The following is a 22,668-nucleotide window of genomic DNA, read 5'->3' on the forward strand; positions in this document are numbered from 1 at the left end:
CATCTCCACATCCTCAGCAACACATAGTATTGTCAGACTGTAAATTTTTTAACCTTGCAGTGAGTTTGTCGTTATATTTTACTTATTTTAATTTATATTTCCCTTATTACTAAAATTTATTGATATTTGCCTTCCCTCTTTATAAAGCATTTGCTTGAATATTTTGCCCATTTTTCATTTAGGTAGTCCTGTCTTTATCTTATTATTGGTAAGAGTTTGTCATTGTCGTTGTTGGTGGTGGTGGTGGTATTTTTGTTTTTAGAGTCCCTATTTAGTTATATTTTTTAAAAATATATTCTCTTACATTATGGTTTGCATTTGCACCATTTTCATGGTGTCTGTGATGCACTAATGTTGTCAGTATTTATATAGTGGAATTTATCAATCATTTACTTTATTATTTGTGCTTTGGGGGGGCTTTAAAATTTAGTCTTTGCCCCAGGAAATAAAAATATGCTGTTAATTATTTTCGCATAGCCTTATGGGCATGCTTTTCACAAAGAGACCTAGAATTGAATTTTAAACACAGGGCCATGCAAGTCCCATTTAGTTTATTTTCTATTTAAATTGATTTCCACTTGGCCCCACATCATTTTCTGCAAAGCTTTTCTCCCCCCACTACTCTGCAGTGCTAATATCTCATTTGTCAAATGTCCATAAATAAATTGGTCTATCTTTGAGCATATTATTCTTTTCCTTTTGTGTATGGGCCTGTCGTCGTCATTGTGCTACTACCATAGTTTGTTATTACTAGAGGTTTATTATAAGTCTGCAAGTCTAGCTGAGCTTTATTCTTCAAGAATGTACTTTCAGATAAATTTTTAAATTATGTTGTCAAATTATATGAAATTTGTTATGGTTTTGGGTGGGATAACATTCCATTCATATTTTTGTAATGTTTCAACTTTTAAACAATGAACATAGTATGTAGCCTTGTTAGTTAACTGCCTTTAACGCTTCTCAGTAATATTTTGTAATTTTCTTGGCGATATCTCACACATCTATTTAGTTATTCCCAGAATATCTAAATTGATATTCACTGATGCTATCGCAATTTATTGAAACTTTGTTTTCATAATGTTGTTTATAAATAGGAAAGCAATTTAATAACGTATGTCAAATTTATATCCAGCAACCTTGTTAAATAACTTAATTAGTCCTAGATGTTTATTTTACATTCCTTTGTATATTATTCTATTGTCTGGGAAAAAGACTTTTCCCCATTTTTTTCAATCCTTATACATTGATTTATTTTCTTGTTCTGTTGCTTTGATTAAAACTTCTACAATGTTGAATAAAAGTGGAGATATTTCTTCTGATGATGATTCTAAATTAAAGTGATAGTTTAGTTATTCATCAATAAGTGTGAGGTTTTCTGTAGGTTTGGTATATATTATGTCAGATAAAGGGAGTTTCCCTCTATTTTTAGTTTGCTAAGAATTTTTTAATGAATGGATATTGAATTTTATCATATGGATTTTCTCAAACTATTAGAAGACATAATGTGATTTCTTCTAATCTATTCATATGATTATTAAACTGATGATGCTAACTAATCATCAAAACTCCAAATCCAACTTAGACATTACATATGATCCTTTTTATATATTGATAGAATCAATTTATTGTTTTTTTATAGGATTTCTGTATCTGTAACTATGAGTAGAATCTGGCTTGAGGTTTTTAAATGTGCAAAAAATTTGAACTAAAGTAAGAATCAAGGTATAATGTGTCATACACATGCAAAATAGAACATATTTTTAATTGTAAAATTGTCTATTTTTCCTAGTAAAATAAAAAGCTTTCACAAAGAATGTTAATATTATCTTGGAATTCTAAATGTTGATTTAACTTGCTTACTGAGGATATTCACAAAGTATGTTCAGGTGTGAAATTTATGCTTTATTTCTTATCTCATCCTGATTTTGTCTCTTTTCTATATGTATAGCTTCAGACAAAAGTGAAGCAAATTAAAGTCCATCCCGCCATCCTTCCAAAGAGCAAAGAAAGTCCATGGAAATTCATCAACATCCAGGTTTCATTGTCTGTCTGTCTGTCTTTTTTTGACAAATGAATCAGGGACTCAAGTGCTCTAAAGCAGCTCAAGTTGATGATTGATGGCTTATAGTTGACTGTAACATGAATAACTTCTAATTTATAGGTGTCTATATATTTTATGCTTGCTCTTCACTTGTAGTTTGAGAAGGACATGCGGGAAATCCCACTCTGTGTTCTCCCAATTCAGTTACACTTGGACTTTACAATGTAGTCATAGCTCTGACAATGAATTAATTTTTTTCAAATAATCCAAAAGCACAAAAGCAGTATAAGATAAAGGCTTTCCTTTAAGGATATGAAAAATATACTGGATAAATAAATGATACCTATATAAAACATTTTTAACAAAGTAAAAAATAGTATGCAATCTTCTTCCAAAATGGATAACATGGCAAACAAATATGTTAAAAGTTTAGAAAAGTGAAATATTTGTTTTAATTGATAGAACTTGAACTAGGGCTTATTGGATCTTCATGAAAAGATACATACAGGAGGAGAGTAAAGATGGGGGATATAGTATAAACAATATTCCCTTTTTTCTTATCATTGTAATTGTGTTGGATCTTCAAGGGAGGAATACACTTTGTAGCAGTGATGCTGTGAATGTTTGTGTCCCCCTAAAACTCTGCATGTATAAACTGTTCTCAAATCTTTGGTTCACTCCTCAACAGTACTTACATGAGGGAGGCTCCAAACATTCCGAAGCAACATAACTGGCAGGCTAAAAGAACCAAGTAGTAAGTCTAGATGCTGGCTACCACAAGTGAGACAGATTGTGAAGTTAGTCCAGATGAGTTAACTAAAAATAACATTCTTCAGAGGAAGATAACAGAATCCAGAGTTTAATACATGTCCACAAACTTCAGTTGAAAATAATAAAAAATATACATGCAAGGAAATATGAGAAACAGGACCAAAAGTAAAATTAAAAGGCAGTTAATATTAAATAAATCATAAACTTGAGATGTCTACATGTTGCATTTAGCAGATAAAGACTTTCAAGCAGTCATATTAAATATGTTCAAGCACTTAAACGTAAATATGTTTACATTGGAAGAACAGAGGTGGAATATCAGTATCTGTCTCTATCTCTCTAAATATCTATCTATCATCTATCAAGAGTGCAAAGTGGAAATTTGAAATACAGTTTCTATTGAATGCATATTGCTTTTATACCATCATAAAATCATAAGTTGAGATATCATAAGTTGGGGAACATTATGTATTGTTAAGAGGTGAATTCTCCCCTAAATTAATGTATGTTTTCAGTGAAATACCAAAATCTCAAGAGGCTGTTTTATATTAAATGACAAAGTATTTAAAAATCTATATGGACATATAGAAGACAGAATAAGCAAAACAATCTTGAAAATGATGCCTATAATTGGAGCATTTACACTATTTGACATCAAAGTTTAAATTAAAGCCAGAGTATTCAGTAGTGTATGGAACTGACACGAGAATAGACAGATAGATCACTAAAGCAAAAAAGTAAGTTCAATGAACTTTTAGCAAAGTTGCCAAAGCAATTCAGTTGGTAAAGGAAAGCACTGTTAATAAATGATTTAAAAACACTGTTCAATTGAATGTGTCTTTGTGTGTGTATGTGTGTGCATGTCACACCATACATACAAATCAATTCATGATGAATCATAGACTTAAACATAAATACAAAATCTAAGAGTGGAAAGATGGTTACCAGAGGCAAGAAAGGGGAGTGGGGAGGGGGAAATAAAGAGCAGTTGTTGAATGGGTAGAAACATGTAGTTAGATAGACAAAGTAAGATCTAGTGTTTGGTGGCATAATAGGGTGACTATAAGTAACAATAAATCTATATTTCAAAATAACTAAAATAGTGGAATTGGAATGTTTCTAACCAAATAAATGATAAATGCTTGTGGTGGTAGATATCCCAATTACCCTGATGTGATCATTACACATTGTGTGTTTATATCAACATATCAGGTGTATCCCATAAATATATACAACTATTATGTATTGATAGAAATTATTTTAAAAAGTATAAAACCTGTAAAGCTTTTAAAAGAATACAAAAATATATCTTCTCGACTTACAGCACAGTAAAGAATAACCAAAACATTAAAAATGCTATGTAAACTGCATCCAAATGAAAAGTATTCTCATGAAAAGACACTTATAATATGCACACAGGCACAAATTAGAACAAATATGCATAAAATCTATATTGGGCAAAGGCTGGTCTAGAATATATAAAGAACTCCTACAGTTTAATTATTAAAAGACAAACAAATAGAAGAACAAAGGACATGAATAGACACTTAGATCATAAAGGAAGATATATGAAATATGAAATGGCAGTTAGCATATACAGATTGCTCAGTTGTTAGTCATCATGGAAATGTAAATCAAGACCATAGCTCAGTTATTAGTTATCATGGAAATGTAAATCAAGACTGCAATGAGATATCATGCCACATAAATTAAATCAGCTGAAATTAAAGACTTAAACTGATTCTTACTGAGCATATAGAATAACTCCTATATTGATTGAAGTTTAGAATGATATAATCACTTTGGAATGTGTTTTTGACACTTTATTATAGTTATACACAACCCTTACTCATTAACTTGGCAATATATCACTAGATATTTACCCGAGATAAATTAAAATATATCCATATAAAGACTTGTTTATACGTACTCACAGCATCATTATTCAAAATAGCCCAACATGGTAAAATGGAAATATCCATCAACAGCAGAAAAGGTAACCTAACTGGTGTATTTACACAATGAGTTCTGAATATAATAGAAAGAAACAAACTAGTGATACATGCAACAACATGGCTGAATAGCAAAAGCATTATGCTGAGTGAAATAAGCCAACATACGATTCCATTTACATGAAGTACTTAATATTGAAATCTAGTGGTGCACAAATCAGAACATTGGTGCTTTGTGTAGAGTGGAAAGATAACTTTCTCAGATTACCTTAATGTTTCTTATCTTTATAGATTATTGGAGTGTGCATTTTCAAAAACTCATTGAATGGTGCATTTAAGGTTTGTGCATTTCACTGTATATCACTACTCACACTCACCCCTCATACATACACAATAACTGTGTATGAGGGGTGACTGTTAGTGACATATAATATACAAATAATGACATATTAACAAGTAATGAACAGTTAATAGATTTTTTTTATTTTGTAGTGGTGTGGGATAGCAATCCTGAAACTATTTTCTGGCACTTTAGTTGCAATCAAATGAATGAATATATTGAGGATGATAGGAGGAGCTATTCCTAACTGTTAGAGAATGTGTACTAATATGGAAAAGGGAAAGACAAATTTTAACTTTGTTTTATTGGACTGGAATTGGAACTATAATATTAATGTTCTTCCAATATAGATAGGTAGGTAGGTAGGTGGGAAGATAGATAGAGACACACAGATACACACACACAAATACTTCCGTGTTCTACTTTTTAACAGTACCTAGCAGCAATGTCATATTGATTGCAATGATCATAACTATCTCACAGATCCTGGTTTTCAAATATCATTCTCCAATAAAAATAATGAGGACTCCTTGGATAAATGGATGGTTCCAGGGCCTAGGTAGGTAAACTACAACATCTACCTAGAATATTTTTTTCCAGAAAGTAAATGGTTTCTCAAAGAATGTCAGATACAGGTGGAAAGCACCTAAGGGCCAAACTGAAGAGGCTCCAAATGTACACACCCGGCACAATTTGAGTATCAGAAATGAGTAACTACAGTAAAAGATCATAATGTGTTTAATAAAGTAGGAATCTATGAACCCAAACTGATATAAGGAAATGAATAAATGAGAGAGAAAGGAAGTTCTTCTTGCAATAGAATATCAACAAAATATGTAGAAAAAAAGAAGAGGTTAGAAAGTCACTAAATTGTAGGTATAATAATAATAATTGCCTCAGCCAAGAATGATCAATATGTGCTACCACTAATGGGTAATATTTTGATAAGGGGCAGGCATCATTATCATCATCGTTTCCAATGGGAAACTAAATATGAAGGAGATTCCAAAAAGAAGTAGGCTTTTCTCTTTGAAAATTTTAAGGGGAAGAATGACAAATAAGAGCAGAAAAAAGACTTACTTCATATTAGAGACTAAAGCAATATGATAGTAAGGCAACAAAATGCAGGATCATGGACCGGATCCAAGATTGGATCCTATACTGGGAAAAACTATTGAGGACATAATGAGAATGATTTATGTTAATATTAAATTTATTGATTTTGATAATTATTGTGTGATTGAATATGAAAATTTCCTTGTTCTTAGGAAACAATATATACACTGGAGTGTACGTGGGAGAGTGAGAAAGAATGAGTAAATAGAGCAAAGTAAATAGAGCAAAATGTAAATAATTAGTTTATCTTGGTGTATTAGGGTTCTCTTAGAGGGGCATAAGTAACAGGAGATATAAATATATATATAAAAAATAAACTCCCATATATATATATATATATATAATTTACACAATCACAAGGCCCCATAATAGGCTGTCTGCAAGCTGAGGAGCAAGGAGAGCCAGTCTGAGTGAATCCCAAAACTTGGAGTCTGCTGTTCCAGGGCAGGAAGCATCCAGAATGGGAGAAAGATGCAGGCTGGGAGGCTAGGACCATCTCTCATTTTCACGTTTTTCTGTCTGCTTTATATTCCCTGGAAGCTGATTAGATTGTGCCCACTAGATTAAGGGTGGATCTGCCTTCCCCAGCCCACTGACTCAAATGTTAATCTCTTTTGGCAACACCCACACAGACACACCCAGAATTAATATTTTGTATCCCTCAATCCAATCAAGTTGACACTCAGTATTAACCATCACACTTGGCAAAAGTTATATTTGTGTCTAGAGTCTGTACAATTTTTGAAAATTTTCTATAAATTTGAAATTATATTGAAATACATAGGTAAAAATGCACACCTAACTTTTTCCATTGCTAATTATATAGTGTTGGTTCTGGAGAATGATGACTAATATATTACTAATCCTAAAAGTTTGAAAAAAAATCCAGCTTGCCTTCTTAGAAAACTAAAAATATATTAAGTAAAGAAAATTAGCAGGTTGTTCAGCTTCCATGTAGTTGTGCAGTTTTGAGTGAGTTTCTTAATCCTGAATTCTAATTTGATTGCACTGTGGTCTGAGAGACTGTTGTTATGATTTCTGTTCTTTTGCATTTGCTGAGGAGTGTTTTACTTCCAATGATGTGGCCAATTTTATAATAAGTATGATGAGGTGCTGAGAAGAATGTATATTCTGTTGATTTGGAGTGGAGAGTTCTGTAGATGTCTATTAGGTCTGCTTGGTCCAATATCCCTGATGAACATCAGTGCAAAAATCTTCAATAAAATACTGGCAAACCGAATCCAGCAGCATATCAAAAAGCTTATCTACCACGATCAAGTCGGCTTCATCCCTGGGATGCAAGGCTGGTTCAACACACGCAAATCAATATATGGAATCCATCACATAAACAGAACCAATGACAAAAACCACATGATTATCTCAATAGATGCAGAAAAGGCCTTCAACAAAATTCAACACCCCTTGATGCTAAAAACTCTTAATAAACTAGGTATCGATGGAATGTATCTCAAAATAAGAGCTATTTATGACAAACCCACAGCCAATATCACACTGAATGGGCAAAAACTGGAAGCATTCCCTTTGAAAACTGGCACAAGCCCTTCTCACCACTCCTATTCAACATAGTGTTGGAAGTTCTGGCCAGGCCAATCAGGCAAGAGAAAGAAATAAAGGGTACTCAATTAGGAAAAGAGGAAGTCAAATTGTCCCTGTTTGCAGATGACATGAGTATATATTTAGAAAATCCCATCATCTCAGCCCAAAATCTCCTTAAGCTGATAAGCAACTTCAGCAAAGTCTCAGGATTCAAAATCAATGTGCAAAATTCACAAGCATTCCTATACACCAATAACAAACAAACAGAGAGCCAAATCATGAGTGAACTCCCATTCACAATTGCTAAAAAGAGAATAAAATACCTAGGAACACAACTTATAAGGGATGTGAAGGGCCTCTTCAAGGAGAACTACAAACCACTGCTCAAGGAAATAAGAGAAGACATACATAAGGAAATACATTCCATGCTCATGGATAGGAAGAATCAATATTGTGAAAATGGCCATATTGCCCAAAGTAATTTATAGATTCAATGCTATCCCCATCGAGCTACCATTGACTTTCTTCGCAGAATTGGAAAAAACTACTTTAAATTTATTATGGAACCAAAAAAGCCTGCATAGCCAAGACAATCCTAATCAAAAAGAACAAAGCTGGAGGCATCACACTACCTGACTTCAAACTATACTACAAGGCTACAGTAACCAAAACAGCATGGTGCTGGTACCAAAACAGACATATAGACCAACGGAACAGAACAGAGGCCTCAGACATAACACCACACATCTACAACCATCTGATCTTTGACAAAACTGACAAAAACAAGAAATGGGGAAAGGATTCTCTATTTAATAAATGGTGTTAGGAAAACTGGCTAGCCATATGCAAAAAACTGAAACTGGACCCCTTCCTTACACCTTATACAAAAATAAACTCAAGATGAATTAAAGACTTAAACCTAAGACCTAAAACCATAAAAATCTTAGAAGAAAACCTAGGCAATACCATTGAGGACATAGGCATGGGCAAAGACTTCATGACTAAACCACCAAAAGTAATGGCAACAAAAGCCAAAATTGACAAATGGGATCTAACTAAACTAAAGAGCTTCTGCACAGCAAAGGAAACTATCATCAGAGTGAACAGGCAACCTACAGAATGGGAGAAAATTTTTGCAATCTACTCATCTGACAAACGGCTGATATCCAGAACCTACAAAGAACTTAAACAAATTTACAAGAAAACAACCCCACCAAAAAGTGGGCGAAGGATATGAACAGGCATTTCTCAAAAGAAGACCTTTATGCGGCCAATGAACATATGAAAAAAAGCTCATCATCACTGGTCATTAGAGAAATGCAAACCAAAACCACAATGAGATACCATCTTATGCCAGTTAGAATGGCAATCATTAAAAAGTCAGGAAACAACAGATGCTGGAGAGGATGTGGAGAAATAGGAATGCTTTTACACTGTTGGTGGGAGTGTTAATTAGTTCAACCATTGTGGAAGACAGTGTGGCAATTCCTCAAGGATCTAGTACCGGAAATACCATTTGACCCAGCGATCTCATTACTGGGTATACACCTAAAGGGTTATAAATCATGCTACTCTAAAGATACATGCATACGTATGTTTATTGCAGCACTATTCACAATAGCAAAAACTGGAACCAATCCAAATGCCCTTCAATGATAGACTGGATAAAGACAATGTGGCACATATATGCCATGGAATACTATGCAGCCATAAAGAGGATGAGTTCATGTCCTTTGCAGGGACATGGATGAAGTGGGAAACCATCATTCTCAGCAAACTAACACAAGAACAGAAAACCAAACACCACATGTTCTCACACATAAGTGGGAGTTGAACAATGAGAACACATGGACACAGGGAGGGGAACATCACACACCGGGGCCTGTTGGTGGGTGGGGGATGGGGGTGGGGGAGGGACAGCATTAGGAGAAATACCTAATGTAGATGACAGGTTGATGGGTACAGCGAACCACCATGGTACGTGTATACCTATGTAACAAAACTGCACATTCTGCACGTGTACCCTAGAAGTTAAAGTATAATAATAAAAAAAAAGAAAATTAGCTAAATCCATTAGGAGGAGGAAAACTGAGTCATTATAAATCTTTTAGAACTAGAACTTTACAGTTCTTTAACCACACCATTTACTAATGTCTTGACCTGCCATGGTTACTCTGCTTTGTAGTTTATTTAAAGATAAAAATAAATGCATTTAAAGTGATAGTGTGGGGGAATGATCACAGAAGAAAACACTGAGCACTAAGAATAAATTTAAATATTGTATGTCACTATGTACTCAGAAAAATTTTGACAATAAATACTCTAAATGTTGTAATTAGAAACTATTGAATAGTGATATTATATAGGAGGTTGATATCATAAATATCGACATTAAAATAATTATTTTTCAGAAAGTCATTACTTTTTAATAGTTTTGACCTCCATTCCTTTTCATTTAAACTTTTCAGTTTTCATTTGCTGATGTTTTATATTAAATTTATGAACCCTTTCTTCATCTGCAGTACAGCAAATTTTCTTGCTGTATTTCAGAGACAGGAGCATACATTTAGATTTGGTGGCAATGTTGGTTTACCTCTGGCCATATATGTAAAAAATATCTGTTCTGCTTAAAATATAGCACTTCATATTACTATTAATATTTCAATTATGAATATATACTGAGTGATCTATAGATTAGCTCTTTTTGATATAAGTATATTCATAAAATCATGGGTGCTCATTAATCATAAATTTATTTCATAATATAAATGTGAATTCAATCTTTAGGCAAATTTTAATGCACTTTTAAATATCATATGACATATATTTTGAAGTTCACTTTATGTTTAAGAAAATACCTTTTCTGTTCACATTTACCATCATATTTACACTCACTTCCTTCAGAATTCTTAGTTTTAATTAATCCCAGTCCCTGACTGGGACAAATTATTCAGACTCAAAATATTTTATTTACTACTTTAAATATATTTAAATGTTTTTTAAAATATATTTTTTAAAACTTTAAAAGCATTATTATGCTCAAATAAGAAATCTGTTCCCATTCTATATAGCAGTTAAATTTTTGGTTTCTTATAATAATTTGGCCAAATTATTTGCTAAATTGTTTTTGCCAAATTGAATAATTTGGAGGTTTTGAATAATCAGGGGTTTTTGAAAGTACTTATATCAGAAATTAAAAGTAAGATATATGATAATTTAACATTTCAATATATATATTTATATTTATATATTGAGTCAAATTTATATTTAAATATATAAGAGAAATATACATATATCTTTTACTCCCAAGACAAATTAAAATTTTCTAAATTGTGTTCACCAGTAACTTTCTGATAAATCAAATGAATATCTAAATTACTATTAGAAACACCTATTTTTAATTTTCTTTTATTAAAAAATTTTAGAGATCTCTGTTTTCAAAGGACCTTGTCAAGATCTCATTGTACAGGAAATCAAAATTAACCAAAAACTTTTTGATCTGATTGCCTTTCATCTGTGAAACTCAATTATGGTTTTATTATTGGGAATGAGGAAAGTTACTCCCTGAATGACAATATGGGTCAAAATCACCTTTATGCTTGTTAGAGATGATGCTCATCCAGAGACCTTTAGCTTAATGACCCAGCTTCTTGTGCCTAAGTTACAGTCTGGGACTGCTGCAGGAACTTAAGAAGCTTCATTAGTCTTTTAGGCCACAGGGGAAACATTAAATTAACAAAAAAGGAAGGAAAAAACAAAAATATCATGTCAATAACCACAAAGAGGCCCTAGTCTGTTGCATTTCTAGTACCTTAGCTATGAAATACCACACGGAGTTGTGTTTTGGTAAATTTTGTGTAACTTCTGCTGTCATTTAACTTTCAACATGTCTAACTCTGTTACATAGTATTTCATGGTAATAACTTTTTTGAAGTTAGAAAATTATTATGTCATACTCATATTCTGAGCTCCAGTTGCCTTCACTGCAAAGTGGAAGCTGGCTCTAATATGGCTGAGGAGGAATGCCAGGATTGAAAGTCTGAATCTCAAGAGAGAAATGAGAGAGAAAGCCATGAATTTGGATGTCATGGTGATTGGTAAAAAATGACCTGGGTGGGGGTCATCCAGGGGGTGTTTTCAGAATCAGAAGTCCAGAAAACTGAAGATGAGACCTTCGAATCACTGAAGCAGAGCAGCAGATGTCGTAGATGAAAATGGAGAGAACAACGTTCCAAAGGGATAGAATGCATTCGACGGTAAAGTGACAAATGGAGCAGAGAGCCCAATCATCAGGCATATTTAAGAGTTGACTGTCATTTCTGCAATTAGAGGATCAGTTGATACTTCAAAGGAAAAACATTTCAGTGATAAACTGTGGATGAAACTGAAAGTTTGGATATTAATGACAATAGAAAACATGGTAGACAGCCACTGTCCCAAGTTTTCCCAATGCCCCCTGCCATCCCAGCTGCCCTGGATGCTCCACAGAACTCAGTGACATCCCCAGGATCCAGTAACTAAAAGGACACTCATAGCTCTATAGGTGCTTCAGGCCCTTACTCAGGCTCTTGTACACATGGTGCCATACTGATTATTCAATAATTTTCATAACACCCCAACAGGGGAACACAAGATTAAAGGAAGTAATGTGTTTTGTTTTGTTTTGTTTTGTTTCTTGGTCTTGTTTTTAAGAGGAGAAGGATTATGCATGTTTACAGTGTGAAGGGAAGAGTTGGGTAGAGATGTAAATGTTAAAATCAAGGAGAAAGGGGATGGGAGAAGAACCCAGGGTGCGCAGAAGTAGACAATAGCTTTGAGTGGGGAGAAGACAGCCTGGAATAGATGAAAAGATTGGAAATGAATATGGACAACTTTGTACATTGGTGGGTAGAAAGGTGATGAATTCCCTAAGCTGGGGCTTTTATATTTTCTCTGAATTAGGAGGCACTATCATTGCTATGCAAGAGACAGGAGTGGATCAGAAGCTCAGGGAGAATGGTAAACATCTTCCGTAAGGAATGTGAGACAATTGTTCTTTCTATTTCTATTACAGAGGAGAGTTTAAGCTAGGAATAAAATACTAGTGTATGTTTCATTTTCCTGGTTTTTAAAAATGTATCTCAAGGGCACTCATAATAACATCGTGAAATAGAGCCCTGAACCATGTTTCCCATGCTCCCATATACATATATACTCATAGTAAAGATTTAGTTAAAGATAGTATTTATAAAAATATGATTAATCTGTATACTACACACATTAAACTCTATTTTCTTCCTCATCAACATGTAGTAGTCATTCCAGTGAGCTAGTGTGTAAATATCTAACTCATATTTTTTGGGAATTTCATAATATTCAATAATATGCTTTTGCCAAATTGATTGTCCTTTCCATCTTAAGGAACATTTATTTATTTAGTCCCACATTACAATGAGTAATAACTAGCAGCATCTACCTTTGTAAACATATTGGGATTTCATATAAGGATTGCTCAAATTTTTAAGTTTATATTCATATTTCTTGGCATTTCAATATGATAATAGACATTTTTCCAAAGGGCTCTAGTAATTTACACCCTCACTGGCAATCCACGAAAACCCATTTCTCTGCATCCATATCAGCACTGAACAATATTACTTTCCAGCTGCTTTGGAGTAGGGGGTAGAAGCATAGGGCTAGTACTTTCTTTTTATGTACATAACATCGAAAATCACATGTAATTAACAGATGATTAATGTTGTATTTTTTTAAAATGTAATATTTTACATGTAATATTAAAAAATGTATTATCAAGCAAATTGTTTAGAGTTTCCTGACTATAGAGAAAATAAGCCGGTTCAAATAATCCTTCATCCTGCAATGCTTTGGGAGGACAACCCAGTTTTTCTGTTTTTTAACCCTTGCATACCCATTATCCTACTGTGTTGGCCTGGGGCTGAAATAAGAGTTTCAGAAATGTGTGAAGACATAATTATTTCAATTAATATGAATTATAAGTCATCAGAAGAAGGGTGATAATAATTTTTTTTTCCAAATTGTATCATTCAGTATCATCAGGAAAGTCTCAGAATTTACTAATACAAAGCTCATACACAATTCCATGACAATGCTGTTAAGACATCATGGCAATGAACGCCTCTATCATGGTCTGGAACTTGCTTTTTATAATTACTCTTCTAGATTCTTTTTTCCTTATGCACTAGCAATGATGAATTAGTCACGATTCCTAAGATTTACATGTACATTCCTTTTTGTAATAATTCAAACTATTTGATTGAATTAGATTTCCTTTCCCCCATCCCTGCCTGTGAAAGTTGTATTTAACTGACAGGGTCCAGCTTAATGGCTACTCTTTACTGAAGTGCTTCAACATTAAAAAAAAAAATTCTACTTGTTTCAATGAGATATTATATTTTTTATTATTACCATACTTACACATTTTTTTTTTTTTTTTTTTTTTTTTTTTTTTTTTTTTGAGACGGAGTCTCGCTCTGTCGCCCAGGCTGGAGTGCAGTGGCGCAATCTCGGCTCACTGCATGCTCCGCCTCCCGGGTTCACGCCATTCTCCTGCCTCAGCCTCCCAAGTAGCTGGGACTACAGGCGCCCGCCACTACGCCCGGCTAATTTTTTTTTTTTTTTTGTATTTTTAGTAGAGACGGGGTTTCACCGTTTTAGCCGGGATGGTCTCGATCTCCTGACCTCGTGATCCGCCCGCCTCGGCCTCCCAAAGTGCTGGGATTACAGGCGTGAGCCACCGCGCCCGGCCCATTTTTGTCTCTCCTACTAGATTTTAGAAGTTTTGAGATGCGGGACTTTGATTTATTCATCTTTCCCTTTAGCAACCATCTGTATTACCTGACACCTAGCTCAATGCCTGGTACATAGGAGATACTCAATAACAGTTGAATTAATGAAAGTATATGTAGATGATGGAGTAGGCTAGCTAAATCAGGTTAGGGGAGGTGCAGCTGTCAATGTCCATCTCTGGTTATAAATCCTGGGAAAACTGTATTAAGGGTTTGAGGATATAATGAAGCTTGTAGTCAGTCAGAACATCCTTTCTTAAAACCTTCCCAGGATAAAACAGGCCAATTGATTACACAAACAAAGTATGAGACTACAAGGGAAACTGGCCCTGTTTGTTCCTCTCCCCTGCAAGTTAATCACATTTGACCACATAATTTCATATTTACAATGCATTTTCTATTTATGCCACACCAGAGATGCTACTGGAGGCACTTTACTTAATTTTTAAAATTTCTAATGCTAGCACACAATGACTTATAAGTTCCTATTTTTGTGTTTTTTAAAAAAAACATGTTTAGATCCTTTAAATATTTACTAACATTCAAGTTTCCATTTTAAACACTTGGGACATATTCCTGAATTAAGATTAACTATTATATTGATTAGAAAAATGCTACTGGTAACAGTACAATGCGAGTCTAGAATAATGTGTCTCATTTTTAATGCTTTGTTAGTACACTGTCATTTAGAAATTCTTTCCTCTCATAACTGTGGATAGATCCCTGAGAACCAGAAAAAAATTGGATAATAATACTTTGAATTGATTATTATCTTCTACTTCTGGAATTGTAAAATATACATATTTTTTATTTTTTAAAAAGTGTGAAAGCTAGTTTCACTGCAGATGCTAATACATAGAGAGCAATTTATATATGAATTCTGAAGGGGCCTGGAGGGAAGAGCTTTTTCACACAGACAGATGAATTAGGAGACTTAGCTGACAGGGTCATCACCACATTTCTTATTGGAAAAATGAATTTCTATTGCAGGGCTAGAAAATATTTTTTAAAAATCCTCAAGTAGGCTGTAGCATTCAATGAATTATGTCATAAATTGAATGGAAAGAGAATCTGAGCATGTCTTGCAGAATAAAGAGTGAGAAAGAGACCTGCAACATCAGGCATGCTAGATAAAGAAAAATATCTTAGGCCAGCAAAGAGAGCTTCTGGGCTCGAGGTAGGAAATTGAATGGTTGTGTTTAAGTGAGTGCTTCAGTAGCATTTTACATAAAAAATTCATCTGTTTTTCAAAGTAATATACTATGCTAAATGCCGTTTATGTCTTTTTACTTCTGTTGCCCCACTTAATGATTATAGATAGAAATTCAATCATTGTAGAAGTAGTCAGCTTTCACAAGGTGGCCACTGAATAACACGAATGGTATTTGCTCTTTGCAAATAAATAAGAAGGCACTGGATTTATATTGGTAATTTAGAGTAGCTTAGAAAGCCAACTGAAAAAAAGGAAGGGAGGAAAAATGAAGGAAATAAGAACAGAAGAAAGGATGGGAGGAAGAAAGGAAAGAAAGCGAGTGGGCTGCCTCAAGTAGAACAAACACGAGAACAACTGACAAACTTTCAGTGAGTCTTGGAACATACAGGCAGTTTGAGGTTCTATTTAATGTGTCAAGATGTACTGTGTTTTCGAGATATTTTAGTCAACTGGACTTAGTAGTAATTCATACTCTCCACAGCATCATAAAAGTTTCAGTTTGTGCCAGGGAAGATAAACTATTTTGAAGTAACTTTGAATTTCATTTCTACCTTTTCACCATGTCTGCATAGACATGGCCTTATTGTAGCACATAGCTCACTGTAGCCTCAACCTGCTGGACTCAAGTGATCCTCCTACCTCAGCCTCCTGAGTAACTAGGACTACAAGCATGTGCAAACATGCCCTACTAATTTTTTATTTTTTTGTAGAGATGGGGTCTTACTACATTGCCCAGTCTGGTCTTGAACTCCTGGCCTCAAGCAGTCCTCCTGCCTTGGCCTCCCAAAGTGCTGAGATTACATACATTGGTCAAAGGATCTTTCTTAAAAGGTAAATCATGGTTGTCCTATAAAAAGATCACATGTCAAAGATTTTACTTATTAATTCATGAGGAAATGAAGATTTTACAGCTGGCTCAAAGGAGAATCCAAAGAGCAGTCAAATATGTAAGTCCATCAGAAATGCTGAAGTGAATTTGCTTAGCAGGTACAAAACAGGTTATTATCTACAAGGCAATAGTCCCTTGCATTTTGCCAGATGCAAACTACCTTTGTGGTTTGCTTTTGTTTTTTTGAGGCAGGGTCTTACTCCAGTCGCTCAGGCTGGAGTGCAGTGGCATGATCACAGCTCATTGTGGCCTTAACCTTCTGGGCTCAAGCGATTCTCCTTCCTCAGCCTCCCAAGTAGCTGGAACTACAGGCACACACCACCACACCCGGCTAATTTTTGCATTTTTTTGTAGACATGGGATTTCACCATGTTTCCCGGGCTGGTCTTGAACTCCTGGGTTCAAGAGATTCACCCACCTTGACTTCCTGAAGTGCTGGCATTATAGGCCTGAGCCACCATGCCTAGCCCAAATTACCTTTTCATGACAGGAATCATTTACATTACTATTAGTTTTCTATGACTTTGACCTTACTAGTAACTTTCTAGTAAATGTGAATAGATAAAAATATACATTATGGTAATGAAAATAGAATAAAGTGGTAATGATTCTTTGATTCTTTTTTTTTTTTTTTTTTTTTTTTTGAGACAGAGTTTTTCTCTGTCGCCCAGGCTGGAGTGCAATGGTGTGATCACAGCTCACTGCAACCTGGAATTCCTGGGCTCAAGCATTCCTCCTGCTTCAGCCTCCTGAGCAGCTGGGACTACACACACACACACACACACACACACACTACCACACCTGGCTAATTTTTTTATTTTTTGTAGAGACAATGTCTCGCTATTGTTGCTCAGGCTGGTCTTGAACTCTTGGTCTCAAGCAGTCCTCCTAAATCAGCCTCCCAAAGTTCTGGGATTACAGGCATGAGTCACCGTGCCCAGCCAGTAAAATCATTTTTTAAAAGTTAAGTATCAGCAAGTCTATAAGAAACTGCTTCACTCAAGTTTTCATACAGTGTTAAAAGATATAAGTTGTTTCCATCTTTTGGAAGTGAAATTCTCATATAGCCTTGAAACTATAGAGATTTTTCTACCTTTGACCTAGTAATTTTACTTCTTAATCCTAGGGATAGAGAATTATAGGTTAAAAACTAAGTTTATTTTTTCTTTTCCTTTATAAATAAATTCTGTAAGACACTAAAGCACAAGGCCACTGTATTTTGGTATCCTGCTAACAGAATGTTACATAAAAACAGGGGGAGGGCATTCTCTTCTACTTCACTGCTCTGAACTCAACAGCCCAGAGCGCTGGGAGCAGTGTCTTGCACGGTGGCAGCCATGACAGGAGGACTGGTTACTACAGAGCTACTGCAGGGAGGGGAGTGGGGGCACGAACAACATGTGATACCAGAGCAGGCATCTTTGCGAGCATCTGTGAGACTGAGAATGCCCCACAGTATTTGGTTAGGAGGACTTTGCAGGGAGCTGAGATCATGAAGTCAAACAGGTTACAGGAGATTTTTAGATAAAAGAATTATGGGCATTAGTTTTGAAATTAGATTTGAAAATCTTCTGAAACAGGTTACAGGAGATTTTAGATAAAATAATTATGGGCATTAGTTTAAAATAAAGATTAAAATCTATATTCTTTCTGTTTGCAATGTTATTTTCAGATTTTAAATATTTAACTACTTTCTTTCTTCTCTTTATTCCTGAGCAAGTATTCAGCAGGCCCATTTAGGGCTTAATGGGAAGGAAATACAGCTTTCTGGTCAAGGCAGGGAAAGTTGGGTAAAATTTGTCTTCGGATTCTCTCAGCAGAGTGGAAATTGTAAGTCTAAGTTGACTTACCCAGACTCCCAGCACAGATGGAGTCTAAATATGTGAATTCAACCTGCTTGGTTTCAAAGAAAATCTTCTAGTCCTGTGTTTCTCAAAATCAACCAATGTGTAAATCTTTTATAAAGGAAATAAGAATGCTCACAGAATTGCAGCAATTACTAACATTTTGTAATAGTATCTAAGTATGAAAATGAATACGCTTATGGCTCTTATGTAAAACCAAAAGAAATTTGAACAATAAGTACAAGCAAAACATAAAACTAATTAAAATTAAATTTATAAATACCTATTAAATATGATAAATTATTATTTGCCTCGGCAAAACAGCTGATTTGGGGTTTAATGCTAGAAAGATGTAGGCTCTGGTATAATTCTTTTCTTTTTTGGAGACAGAGTCTCACTCTGTTGTCCATGCTGGAGCACAGTGGCACAATCTCGGCTCACTGCAACCTCTACCTCCTGAGTTGAAGTGATTCTCCTGCCTCAGCCTCCCAAATAGCTAGGATTACAGACACCCACCACCATGGCCGGCTAATTTTTGTATTTTTAGTAGAGACGGAGTTTCACCATGTTGGCCAGGCTGGTCTTGAACTCCTGACCTCAAGTGATCTGCCTGCCTCAGCCTCCCAAAATGTTGGGATTACAGGCGTGAGCCATCACGCCTGGCCAGCCTCTGGTATAATACTAAATTTAGTTTATTTTTATATTTTAAAATAAAAATGCTAAAGCAGAGAATGTATGTTTTCATAAGTAGAAATTACCAAATGATAATAACCTAATAATGAAATATTTTAATTAAATTTGGAATAAAAGAATGCTTTACTGTCTATTTGTGGCTCAGGTCACTGTTAATAACCTGTTGTCTCAAGGTGGAGTGTACACAACTGGTATCTGTGCGGTGTACCCATTTATAAAGTGAATGTTGTAGGATTGCTGTGCTTTGTGCCATGTGATGACTCCATTCTCCCATCTTTTTCCAAAGCCTTAGGGCAACAGTCTGCAACATCACTTGTCTTTTGCAGGTTTTGCATATAGACACACAGACAACCTCATGTACTGATAATAAGTGGCAACTTAATTATAAGGTAGTTACTCAGATGATCAGAATAGTGTTAGATCTACTGCTTAGAATGAAAAGATTGCATATTATTGAAGACATTTATTAAAATAAAATTCCTGGATTCTTGAGACCTATTTTCCTAAACATTTATGGCTCTGTTACAGGACCAAGAGGTTCCTATTTATATTAGCCTGCTGTGCAATAACAGACTAATATACTGAGACAGCAGGGTTTGTAGCAGAGAAAGAGTTTAATGATTGCAGGGCAGTTGAATGAGGAGATGGGAGGAGACCTCAAATCTATTTCCCTGAGGAGTTCTGGGCTAGAGTTTTTAAAGGGATCATCGAAGGCAAGGGACTGGAAAATTGAGGTTGTTGATTGGTCAGGGTCAGAAGGATGAAAACATCAGGATGTGGAAACCTCATTGTTGGGTGAGTCAGCTCCTTGTGAGGTCCTCCAGATCAGCTGACATCAGTGGGGTTCTTTAGACCAGCTGATGTTAGTAGTTTCACTGGTATGCAGGACCTAAAAGAATATTTTAAGTAGGAAACAACATTTTATAATGTTTTAGTTATTTATAGAGCAGTTAAGGGGAATTATAATCAAGGGTCTACCTGACTCTAGAACAGTAGGCACCAAACAACTATGAGGAAGCAGTCAGAGAGCAAGCTGACCTAGTGATGAATGCTGAATGTGCTGCAAGTTTGGCTTATTTTTGTTTCTCTTCCTTACTTTTTTCTGATTAATTTTATGAGGTTTATAGGGACACTTTGACTTCAAGAAGGGCATTGGACATCAAGTGACAATAAATTATTCCTACTCTTTGGGGTTGAGTGCTGAGCTTTTCATTTTCTTGGATCCCCAGTTTTATCATGTTAATACCCAACTCTTTGGATATAAGAAGTAGATGGTTTACTAAAAATAGTTCATTTCCTGTGATGTCCAGGTATTTCTTATTAACTTTTTCTCCCCTTACTCTGAGAAGTCTTTTAACCCTGGTGTGGAGTTTTTAAAAGTCACCCGTATTAAAGCACCATTTGTTTTTGTGGGGGACAGACCATGTGCTTGGTTTGAATGCAGCAATGGAAAATGTTTGTCCTCTTATGCCATTAGAATTCACATCTGTTAACCTCCAGGGCATCACACCAAAACCATCTGCTTGACTAGTATTTGCTACGGGCACAGGGAGTGGGGGTGGAAGGGACAAAGAGAGAGTAAATTGAAAAACCTTCCTTTGCCTTTCAGGATGCTCAGGAGCTTCCAGGTTCAACAGATGCGTGAGATCCATAGCAGAAACATTGCTGTCCTCTTCAGATTCAAGTACGGGTGAAAGTCAAGCTCTGGGATACTGGAGCAGGGCTATATAATTCTCTTTCCCTTGTAATTTCATTAAAAAAGATTAAGGAAACCCTTGAAAAGTTGTAGATACCTAAAATTTTGGCCGTGCATTGATCATCCACAAAAAGTGAAAGATCACAAGTGATCAAGCCACATGTGTGAAAAATCTCAAATACACTTTGGGAGGCCGAGGCGGGCCGATCATAAGGTCAGGAGATCGACACCATCCTGGCTAACAGGGTGAAACCCCGTCTCTACTAAAAATACAAAAAATTAGCTGGGCATGGTGGTGGGCACCTGTAGTCCCAGCTACTGGGAAGACTGAGGCAGAAGAATGGCGTGAACCCGGGAGGCGAAGCTTGCAGTGAGCCGAGATCGCACCACTGCACTCTAGCCTGGGCAACAGAGCGAGACTCCATCTCAAAAAAAAAAAAAAAAAAAAAAAGAAAGAAAACTCTCAAATAACTCTTGATTCAAATAGTCAACATAACTCCTGGAGGAAAAAAAAAAGCATTTCTACATTGAGAGAGACATTGCTATAGTCCCCTCCACTGACTTCTCTCTTTGTGGGTGCATGGAAGGTATAGAAAATAACCTTTCTAGTATTTGGATTCATGGTCCTCAACCCTGGCTGCACAGTAGAACCATTTGGGAAACTTTGAAACATACTGTCATCAAGTCTCAGTCCTTGAGATTTGAATTTAATTGGTCTCAGGGTACAGTCTGGACATGGACATAGTTTGAATGTTCTCCCATATGATTCTAATGTGCGGAAATGTTGAGAACCACTGATTTGGAGAAAACCTGATATTTTTCTGCAGCTACTGATTACTTCTAATCTCAGAAGCTAACATTCAAAAGAACCCCTTAGGTAAGAAGAGGAGATACAAGAAAGAATTTTTTTAAGTGTGACTTAATGAAGAAAAGAAATAACATCTAGACTAGTCTGGTTTTCTCAACCTCATTATCCTTGACATTTTGGGCCAGATAATTCTTTGTTGTGCATGAGGGTAAGGAGGGTAAGGAGGGTAAGGAGTTCCCTGTGCATGGTAAGATGGCTTACCATGGCTTCTACTCCCCAGATGCCAGTAGCAGCTCCCCACCCTTATGTTGTGTCCCCATGTTGCAAAGACCAAAAATATCTCTCAGGATTACCAAATGTCCCCTGCTGTGCAGAATCCTTTTCCCTTCCCATGTGAGAGCAACTAATCTAGACAAAGGGAGTGTTGGCTTTCTCTCCTCCTTTATTTAACTCTGTTCTGTCTTTCCTAAAATTAACAAGCCTAGTAACTTCTTAGTACTCATCTGGAAATGGCAGAAGAGTTACCAGCTTTGCTGAAAGGCCAGGAAGGCTCTGTCTCATGACGAAAACAAAAACAACCATCTTCATGAATGGTTTGGAATTAGAGTAGTAGCCAAAATAAAAGTTTTTTGTTTTTTAAGTGAGGAGTCATGAATCCTACTATAAACTGATCTTTCAGAGGGAAGATGATCTTCGATCCAAAATTAGCTTTAAAAAAACTCAAGTCACAATAAAATCATACTATAGTCAAGTCACGAGAGCTTTTGGAAACATAGAAATATGTTTCTATAAATATTAAACATAGAAATATTCTCAGACTCCAGAAAATAATTTTGATGCAATTTGTCCTAAATTTACTTCCTCCTAAAGTGTCACTAAATTTACCACCGCCTTCCCCCTGACTTTTTTTTAACCAAACAGAATAAGCAATCTCTGAACTAA

At 35.4% G+C, this 22,668-nt stretch overlaps 1 long non-coding RNA gene across 2 annotated transcripts; it reads left to right on the forward strand.

The window, feature by feature from the left end:
* Positions 1-1,893: 1,893 nt before the first annotated feature.
* On the forward strand, positions 1,894-21,004 carry LOC124903462 (uncharacterized). Of its 2 annotated transcripts, none has more exons than XR_007064577.1 (2): positions 1,894-2,035; positions 20,832-21,004. It is a non-coding gene; the product is annotated as an uncharacterized LOC124903462 (long non-coding RNA). The 2 variants fall into 2 exon arrangements; XR_007064578.1 differs by lacking the exon at positions 1,894-2,035 and adding an exon at positions 16,507-16,627.
* The last annotated feature ends 1,664 nt before the right edge of the window (positions 21,005-22,668 follow it).

This window comes from Homo sapiens, chromosome 15, assembly GCF_000001405.40.
Source record: "Homo sapiens chromosome 15, GRCh38.p14 Primary Assembly".
Classification (NCBI taxonomy): Eukaryota; Metazoa; Chordata; class Mammalia; order Primates; family Hominidae; genus Homo; species Homo sapiens.